The 10,538-nt window shown below is 40.6% G+C and overlaps 1 annotated feature.

Annotated features, from left to right (window-relative positions):
* Positions 9,623–10,228: an enhancer, noted in NCBI's record as "OCT4-NANOG hESC enhancer chr6:134905935-134906540 (GRCh37/hg19 assembly coordinates)". NCBI's record gives its function as "activates a minimal SCP1, AML or CMV promoter by ChIP-STARR-seq in naive H9 embryonic stem cells {active_cell/tissue: H9 hESC(naive)}" and the evidence as "EXISTENCE:reporter gene assay evidence [ECO:0000049][PMID:30033119]".

Raw genomic sequence — 10,538 nt, 5'->3', positions numbered from 1 at the left:
AGCCAGCCCCCAGCCCCCACAGAGCATGGGACGAGAGGGAGTCATGAGGACCCACCTTTAAAAACATTGTGTTGGATTTCTGTTTTTAACCTTCTTTATATTTGCTTCTTAACTTATCTCCTTTTCTTTGTCTACCTTATTCAACACATTTAATAGACACCACTGACCTCCTATTGTAGGCAAGGATCTCAGCTAGGCCCTATGAGTAACACAAAGATGGATAAAGTAGGCGCAGTGCCCTGGGAACTCACTAACTAATTTTTCTGAAAAGTTAAATAAAAATGCAGCCTTTTCCACATTGCTAAACCTGCTTTGGAGCCTGATTCACTGGATTTGACTAAAGTTTGAGTTAGACTATGAATCAAGCAGGTTCTTGAACACCAGATTGATTTCCTATGGAAGAAGAGAAGGTTTGGGAGTACAAGACCAACTAAACTGCACAAAATGAATTATAAGTCATCTGCTTTTTATTCTCTTAAACATAGAAATGTTACCAGCATTTTAAAAAGACAGCAATAATCTGAAAACAGGAAAATATGACAAGGACAAAAATTACAGGGGGAAAAGGATGCATGAGATTTTCAAGACTTTAAATTCTCAAATGATGGATTGAGGCCTATGGACATACAAGGGATTCCTACTGGAAGTACATTAGGCCAACTCAAAAAAAAAAAAAGCTATTTTTGTGTGTAACTGTAAAAAGGCCCCAATATATTGTAGGCCCCTCATCCAGGAGTGTTGCACAAGATGTAAAAGCCTGACCCAGGGTAGCAGATCATGGGCCTGTCTGCCCACATGACACACGGTTCCCTGTGTGCCTCTCGGTCATCGTCACCGAGGTGGGTCAGAGGTGACCTATGGGACATATCTGCTTCATCTCAGTTTTCTGGGCGCTTCCATTCTTTCTTGGGATGAGCCATGGGGCTGGATGTGTCAACTCCAGTTCACAAAGAAAGGACCTGTCTGTCTCCACACTGGGCCTGACCTCACAAATGTTTATTCATGAGGCTGATCAGCACGGCTCCAGCCTCTTTCTATTGCCTGTTTGTATGGAATAGTCCAGAACTTCCCTTTTTGACAAGAACATTACTCATGCTTTTCATCTTCCTAACGTAAGTTCTGCCAATGCAGTGACCATTTTTATGAGTTGGTGAAGGGTGCTCTTACACATTTTGGGGTGAACTCCCTGCTGTCCTGTGCTTTTTGCCATAGAACACCTTTTTAAAAAATTGTGATAAATCCACTTCCTTTTCTTTGACTGTGGCAAGACCAAACTTGAGCTTGTACTTCTGCAGTGACGTTAAGAAGAAAAACAAATCTCATTTAGTCACTTGTGATTTAAACACACGTACACACAAGGAGTAAAGGCCAGGTGCAGCTAGCATTTATTTCTCTGGAGTTGACAGGCTTCAGAGATGATCGTAATGTGATGACATCTTACAAATAATGCATGACCTCCACTTTTCCAGACACTGCAGCTTTATGATTGATGATCAGCTCTGCCTCCCTCACCTGTTATTATTCCCTTTGTTGAGTGCTTGTCTATGAAAAGATTTCACTTTTAAGACATGCAGTGCCTAAAATTAAGAACAGCAAACTTCATCTTCTCTTTTTTGAGCAGGGGGATGTATTTTAAATGCCTAAGGCCAGATAACTTTGATTTTAGAGGGAAGCATTGTACAACCTAGGAAGGGAAAGGCAAAGCCTGGTCTAGCTCCAGAATGGCAGAGCAGAAACTCTTCAGCCCAAAAACTGCTGAGCAGCCTCAAAGCTGCACACCTCCTCCCGGGACCCTGGCAGGAGGTACAGTACAGGTCAAGAGTTCAGACACTGCATGTTTTTCCAAGGAATAAATGTACCATAGTCACATCTCAGCTCTCAGTTGGGGACACAGGAAGGGTAGGGGAGAGTTTGATTCTTCTGTGGTAGAAATGGTTATTTAAAATAGCAGTAGGGAATTGTTCAGCTAAATTATGGTATAACCACTCAGTGGACTATTATCCAGAACTTTAAAGTGAAAATTTTAAGATACGAAATAACCTAGAAAAATGTTACAATAAAATTTTAGTGTAAAAATCTGAATGCTCAATTTCATCAGTATTATAATTGCAGTGAGTGGGAAGAAATATGGAATAAAAAAAGAAAATAGATGATATGCTATATAGGGGCACTGGGTTTTTTTTCCCTTTTCATATATTTACAACATTTGTTATTGCATAATAAAAATTATTGCACTATTTTAAAAAGTGAAGCCTAGTCTTAAAGATTTGATCTTGCCACTAAATTCAATTTTAAGGCCTCTTATTCCCTAAGGAATATCCACTCCCCATTTCTCTCTCTTTTTTAAATATCCAGAATCTGTGAGCAATAAGAATGTATAAGGTAGCATAACTCTAGAGAATTTACAAGAGAATCTCTGAAGTTCAAGCATAACATCAGCACTACCCTATTAAAATTTACATAAAAACCTTTCTTTCCTTTTTCTAAGTAGTACTAGTGTATTAATTATTTAAATAAATTTCTTTTTTGTATAGTTTTTGATTTACAGAAAAATTAGAACAATAGTATGGACAGTTCCTATATACCTCATACCCAAGCTCCCTAGTATTAACATCTGATCTTAATGGGGTATTTTTGTTAAAATTAATGAACCAATATTGTTAAATTATTATTAACTAAAGCCCATATTGTATTCATATATCTTTAAAGTTTACCAATGTCCTTTCTCTGCTCCAGAATCGCATCTAAGATTCCATACTTAACATTTAGTCGTTGTGTCTCCTTGGGCCCTCATGGCTGTGAGTTTCTCAGACTTTTCTTGCTTTTGATAACCTTGGCTGTTTTGAGGAGCATTGGTCAGGTGTGTTTTAGAATGATCCTCGGCAGGGATTTATCTGATGTATTTCTCATGTTTAGACTGGGGTTTTGGGTCTTTGGAGGGTAGACCACAAAGTGAAGGGTTGTTGCTACCCCATTTATCAAGGCTGCACACCATGAACATGACTTACGCTGTGGATGTTGACCTTGGTCACCTGGTTGAGGCAGCGAAAGATCTTTTTCACTGCTTCAGTAAAAAATCCAGGTGTAGCTAGCATTTATCAGGTGTATTTAAAGCATTTATGCAGCTTTTGGGCTGCTTAAGCAGATCTTTCACTGCTTGAGTATCTGCCAAGAGTAAAAAGAGTCAAAACAAACATGGCAACCAAATAAATAAGCAACAAGCAAACAAACATGGCAAGACTTTAACCTGGGACTCTCAGAATTTATTAAATAAGAAAGCATCACTCTTCACATGGATCCCCTTTTCTCCTCTCCATACACCATCTGCCTCCGCCTTTCCTGCCTTGGCACCTGTATTTGCTTTTATGTATATCTTAGTGTGATTCTATTTATATATAAATATATGTTCATATTTAAATCATTTCAGAAATTGAAGTGATATAGATCCTCCAAAACTATTGAGGGGGTGTCCAATGTTGAATTTTGTGCTGTGAAGATACAAGCCAGATTTTTACGTAGAGGTGGAGATTATGTATTTAAAAACATCTTTCCTCCATTCTGACAGAATAAATAAATTTCATAGCGTTGTCAAGCAAAAACATCCTGCAAATGATGAGGGTTAAATGCCTGACCCTTCACAAGTCTGTTGGGGGATAAGACTTGCATCTCAGGGAGTCACCGGGGAAATTGTTCTAAGAAGCCACATTTGCCCCTCGATTTGTTTTTTGGTTTGTTTGTTTGTTTGTTTGTTTGTTTGTTTTTGAGATGGAGTCTTGCTTAGGCTGACTGCCCAGGCTGGAGTGCAGTGGCGTGGTCTCGGCTCACTGCAACCTCTGCCTCCTGGGTTCAAGCGATTTTCCTACCTCCGTCTCTGAGCAGCTGGGGTTACAGGTGCCTGCCACCATGCCCAGCTAATTTTTGTATTTTTAGTAGAGACGGGGTTTCACCATGTTGGTCAGTCTGGTCTCGAACTCCTGACCTCAAGTGATCAGCCTGCTTCAGCCTCCTAAACTGTTGGGATTACAGGCATGAGCCATCGTGCCCAGCCTGCCCCTCAAATTTTGATGTCTCCCCTGTATCTGACTCATTGAGATTGCTTGATAAAAATGTGTTGAATGAAAAGCTGAATATTTTAATAAAGAGCCAAGAGCATATTAAAAATAAAGTTTCCTAGAGATACTGGCCACTTTCGGCCCGGCCACAGGCCTTTCTGGGGAGTGTGCTCCATCTGTAGTCTTTGCTCTGTAAACTCATGAGCTGCACCCCACACACGCACAGAGATTTCAGAAGCCTGACCTCAAGACAGCCAGCACATAGGTTTGCCATCACATACTCAGGAGCTGGCACACAAAGATGAGCTGGGCCAACCAGAGTCTTTCCTTTGGCAATTTGGACTCAACAACAAGGAATGAATTGCCAGGAAGTAATTTTATTGGAGCTGTCAAATTGCCACAGGCTCACGTAAGCCAAAGCCACGTGCAAGATGAAGTTATGACGTGGCATAGAAAAGAGAGAAAAAGCTGGTCAGAAAAGAATGTCTTTCACAAAGAAGGGAACAACAAACACCGGGGCCTACTTGAGGGTGGAGGGTGGGAGGAAGGCGAGGATCAAAAACTACCTGCCGGGTACTAAGCTTATTACCTGGGTGACGAAATAATCTGTACACCAAACCCCCGAGACACACAGTTTGTCTACGTAACAAACCTGCACCTAAAATAAAAGGTTAAAAAAAAAAAAGAAGAAGAAAGTGATGTCACCGAGAGATACTGAGTCAGAGAGGTCATGAGACAGGGGACATGAAAGAGATCAAAGGAGAGAGACCAGGGCCTAAAACTGGGGAACATCTAGGGCCTTATGACCTTCTGATCCATTCTGGTCTGTGTGGATATTTTCAGGTAACACCCAAGCCCTGCCCTGAAGTAAAGTGGGTCTCTGTTCCTTAGAGGTCAAAGAGCATTATTTAAAACAGTTAAGTTCCCTAGGAACCCAGCCCCCAAACAGCCTACTAAATTTTTCAGAGCTGAATAATTTCCCTTGCAAAAGGGGAAGATTTTAAATATCTTAGAACTGTGGATCCTACAGTCAAAATTCCCAGTTTACCGGTTGTCAAAAGGTTTGTTTAGATATAGTGCAGGAAAGAGGGAGAAGATGGGAACCAAGTGGCCTTCCCACGGCTTCCCATGGCTTCCCACAGTTAACTTGGAGCTCTTTTCCCAAGTCACACCCATGCTATTTTCCTGCCTCCTGGATGAAGCCTGTTGCAAAAGCTCTGAATTCCAACCTTGCAAATGCACCCGATGATGCATATAGCTGCTTGCTCCCGGAGGCTACTGGGCTGCTTCCCTTAGTCATAACGTAGGCATGGATCTTTCCCATCAGTGATGACGTTTTTACAAGATCAGTTATGTTATGAGTTTGTTGAGTAATAACACTGAATTTGTTATTTTATAAATGTGCAAAAACATGACCAAAGAGTGTCTTAAAACATGCCACAAGTAGAATGTTATGCATAGTAACAGATTTAAAGACATTAGTATAAAACTCAGTAGCTATTCAGACCAACAAAATCTGAAAAAATAAATATTTGAATATTTATGCTTCTCTTGAACATAGTCTCTGCTTCTTTTGCATAGTAACTTATTTGTTCCTTTTAAAGTATATTTGTTGATAGTTTCTTGGATTTCGACTTTCTGATTTGGGGAAAAATTTTTAGTCAATTTATGTAAAAGTATAATTGTGGAGTCTTCAATGGATTCTTAAAAAACTATTCTTTTTTTTGTAATAGAAAATGTTTGGCCCTTTTTGTGCTTCATGGATTTGTTGAGTATAAAATTTGAGAAGATTTTATTAGGTTATACTTTTGCCTGAAAAGTAGAATTACCTAATTAAGTTATATAATTATATTATAGAACTGAATTAGAATTGTTTTTAAGCTAAGTAACACATCAGGAGAGTGGCTAAGTTTTGTTGATTGTGAAATCAATTTTTATTCAGTTTTACTTTTTAAGTAAAGCCTGATGAAGGACAAGACCAAGATGTCAAACAGATAGAGTGAGAAACTTGGCAAAGCTAGATTCTTGAATTGAATTTTGTCTCATGTTTGAAGTTGAGGTTTCCCCAAGACTGGCTACAAACTTTATATTTTAGCCACTAAAATCTGAAAGAGTCTTGCTGTATCTGAAAGGACAGAACATTTATGTATTTCACCAGGATAACTCCTGGGGTGCCTGCAGTGTTGAGTAAGCTTTCACTCAACATTGCCTGTGGATTTGAAAATGTAGCAGGGTAGGGTGGTGCAAAGAAAGGTAGAGCTGGGTGTGTGGACTTTGCCAACCATCAAAGCCAACAGCCCTTGTGTGTTCAATGCTTTATGTATTCAATGGTTCACTTATAGAGGGACTGTGAAAATTTAACCTGAATTATTCCTGTGACCTAATAACAGGATCTCCAAACAGCCCAAACTCCTTTGGTTTAGAGAATGCCTTTGTCTATATTTGCTTTATTACGTGAAGATAGACAGACGCTTTATATACAGGGGGCATGCATAAGCCTACCTATTTGAATTGGTGTGTGTTACATCTATGGGGGACTGAAGCACCAAATGAATAGACCTAGACCCTATAATTTCTTTCTTACACATATGTAATCATATTACCAAAACAAAGCAATCCTCAGCTGCTATATACATATGTGTTTGTTTGTGTTTCCAGGCATTATAGATTATGTTCATTTCATCTGCATCATTTTCTTGGAAGCTGCTAATGGGTTAAAAGCATGTCTCCTCTTTTCCCTGGAAGCTGCCCACAGTGCCTGAGATAATGTTGTGCCCACAGAGATGGTTCAGAGAACACGGTGGTCCCTAAGAGATGACTAAGCTAAATATGGGAAGAGTAAATTATTTTCTGTTTCCTTCGTTCCTTCCTTCCTTCCTTCCTCCCTCCCTTCCCTCTCTCTCTCTCTCCCTCCCCATCCCTCCCTCCCTTCCTTCCTCCCTCCCTCCTTTTCTTTTCTTTCTTTCTTTCCTTCCTTCCTTTCTTCCTTTCTCTTTCTTTCTTTCCTTCCTTTCTTTCTCTCAAATAAAGAAGTTTGTTTTTCATTTCTCTTCACACACTTTGTAAAATACATTGCTTATGGCACTCACATCAGAAGCTCCTTTTCTATTTTCACCATTTAATTCTAGTCGTTCCCTCAAATTACAAAAGTGCTAAAAATTATAAATATTTCTGAGGAAAACAACATAAAAAGTCTTGTGAAACTTTATACAAATGGCACTTGAATTTTTTTTAATTGCTTCTTAGACTCTTTTTTTCTTTCTTTCTTTTGTTTTTTTTTTTGAGACAGAGTCTCACTCTGTCACCCAGGCTGGAGTGCAGTGGCATGCTCTCCTCACTACAACCTCTACCTTCCAGGCTTAAGCAATTCTCCTGTCTCAGCCTCCTGAGTAGCTGGGATTATAGGCATGTACCACCATGTCCAGCTAATTTTTGTATTTTTAGTAGAGACAGGGTTTCACCATGTTGGCCAGGCTGGCCTTGAACTCCTGACCTCAGGTGATCTGCCCACCTCAGTATCCCAAAGTGCTGGGATTACAGGCTTGAGCCACTGCACCTGGCCTGAGCCACCACATCCCGCTAGACTTTTCAACCAAAGTGGTTTAAAATGGCAGGGGGTCATGAACACAAACCCAGAGTCCCTCAGTCTCAGGCTAGTCTTCCAACTTACTGCTGTAAACCCAACATTTCTTGGATTTCTCCTCTTTCATCTTATTCATTTTTCCTTCTGCCTTGTAATAAATATTCAGATTTGATTTCACGTAATTTCCTTGAAATCTTCACATAAATGTGGATACTCTTGAGAGATGTACCTCGTATTTCCCATGAGCTGGCTGCAAACACACACGTTGATACGTACACTCCAGTTTGAGAAGCATGAGCTAAGAATATCAGGAGGCCAACTCTTTTGCTATTGTTAAAGAATAAGCTGCCGGGCGCAGTGGCTCACGCATGTAATCCCAGCACTTTGGGAGGCTGAGGCAGGCGGATCACGAGGTCAGGAGATCGAGTCCATCCTGGCTAACACGGTGAAACCCTGTCTCTACTAAAAGTACAAAAAATTAGCCAGGTGTGGTGGCTGGCGCCTGCAGTCCCAGCTACTCGGGAGGCTGGGGCAGGAGAATGGGGTGAACCCAAGAGGTGGAGCTTGCAGTGAGGTGAGATGGTGCCACTGCACTCCAGCCTGGGCAACAGAGTGAGACTCCGTCTCAAAAAAAAAAAATGCTACTTCACCTATGACTGAAAGCATTAATGACATGTGATTTAAATGTAAAAAGTAAATTATCAAGTTTAAGGTATCCTATAATGAAAACTTATGATTCTGAATTTTTGTTAATAAATGATTTATTTTTAAAAGCTTTGCCTAAAAAAGTATTTAAAAGAATAATAATTTTTAAAAAATGGTCAGAAAAGGCAACAGTGTGAGTTAAAAGAAAAGGCCAAGGACAGACTCCAGGGTCCAGGTGGAGTCCTGGCTTTACCACTCATCAGCCATGTGACCTGCACTGGTCACCACACCCCCCTGTGCTCAGTTTCCTAGTTTATAATATAGGAATAATGATACTACCTACATCATAGGAGTGATTAGATTAGTAAATATATGTAATACGCTTTGAACGTTCTCTAGTATTTAGCAAGTGCTACAAAAGAATTGGATTAAAAATTGCATACATAAGTGAAGTTGATCATATATTGATATTTGTATAATTATAATTATAATTATTATTATTATTTGAGATGGAGTTTCTCTCTTGTCACTCAGGCCGGAGTGCAATGGCATGATATTGGCTCACTGCGACCTCTGCCTCCCGGGTTTAGGTGATTCTCCTGCCTCAGCCTCCTGAGTAGCTGGGATTACAGGCGCCTGCCACCACACCCAGCTAATTTTTGTATTTTTAGTAGAGACAAGGTTTGGCCATGTTGTCCAGGCTGGGATCGAACTCCTGACCTCGGCTGATCCACCCACCTCGGCCTCCCAAAGTGTTGGGATTACAGGTGTGAGCCACTGCACCTGGCCGATGTTTGTATTGTTAAAGAAGTGGCATTAATGAAGGATTGATTTCAGAGGACTCCAAAGCAGGGACCCAGGCCCTGCACTCCCAGATGAATTAGAACGCCAACATTTAACCTGTTGTCTCCCTCTGCCCCAGTCATACGGTGACAACGGTTCACGGCCTGCTATCTCTCTTAACTCCCTGTCCCAAAAGATAAGCCATGAAGCTGTTGGAAAGAAGCCATCCATCATGACATCACTTGGTATAATTATCCTTTAGAAACCCAGCTCTAGGTTCGAGGTGGAAGTGTCCTGCTGGGCAGGACTGTCAGGAAACGCAGCTGAAGAGGCTTTATCTTTCTGACGCTATCTTGTCTCTGCATGTTATTGTTTCAGGGTATACATTTTTTTGTTCATTCCCGCATACAGACTGGGAAACTTTAACCTTTCAAAAAAGCAATGATGAAGATGCTCACTGACATTGACCTCAGACACCACCTCTCAATGGAACCGCTGGCAACTATTTTTTTTTTCCCATCAGCTTGGTCCTTGATTATCTTCTGGCAATAAGCCCTATGTGGATGTTTTTTATTGTGATGATACCCTAGCAACCACACTTTGGGAGCTCATGTTTATACTCTTTACAATAAGCCTGGTTTTCAGCTGAATCTGCTTCCACTACAGCCCTGAGATAATACTTCAAAATGAAAAGGTCCTCATTGTGGCTGTAAGAACATGCAACAGAAATAGGTTTCATAAACAAGAGCAAAATATAGGTATTCTGTGTGTAAAAGAACAATGAGAACAAAGCTCTCTTGATGATGTTTACACATTTGGACCTTTAAAGAGTGAGAAGAATCATGAACATTTGGAGTTCAAAGAGCCTATTGTGCACAAGAATGGGATTCCCATCTGAGCAGGAGATGCCCCTGGTGACTTTCTGTTCACTGGCTGATCACCTGCCTCAGGCCGGGAAACTGTAAACCAAGGGAGGCCTGCCCTAGCATTGCTGAAAGCACTTGTTCTTTTCCCATGGAGCCCAGACAGGTGAAGGGATAACAGAGAATGTATAAAATAGTGGCTGAATGACCCATCTATTCAAAAGAGAGATGAACATGGAGTCTTTTACTGCAGAAGATCAATGGTTATTGACATGACCAGACACACAAATTTCTATTGAGCTTGAGGTGTTGAGCTTCTATTGGCAAAAGTTAAGGTTCATTAAGGGCAGCAAGAGAAAAGGGAGGTGCTGAAATTAGGGTTCTGCCTTTTGGAATTTAGGGAATGAAGAGGCAAATATTTCAAGAGAGTTTTGGAGCCAATAGGCGGCAAAGAATAAAACCATGGGCTTCGTTCTCAGACCAGAGTTGAGATACTAGCTATGCTGCTTAATGGGTAAAACTTTTCGAGCTGCTTCTAGTCTTAGTGCCCTCCTATATAAAATGAGGACTTTTATAAGGCTGTTGTAATGTTTTCTAAAAAGTAATACATGC

The sequence above is a fragment of the Homo sapiens genome, chromosome 6 (assembly GCF_000001405.40).
Source record: "Homo sapiens chromosome 6, GRCh38.p14 Primary Assembly".
Taxonomy (NCBI): Eukaryota; Metazoa; Chordata; class Mammalia; order Primates; family Hominidae; genus Homo; species Homo sapiens.
Note: the sequence above shows the minus strand (reverse complement) of the source record. Positions and strands in the feature narration are given on the sequence as shown.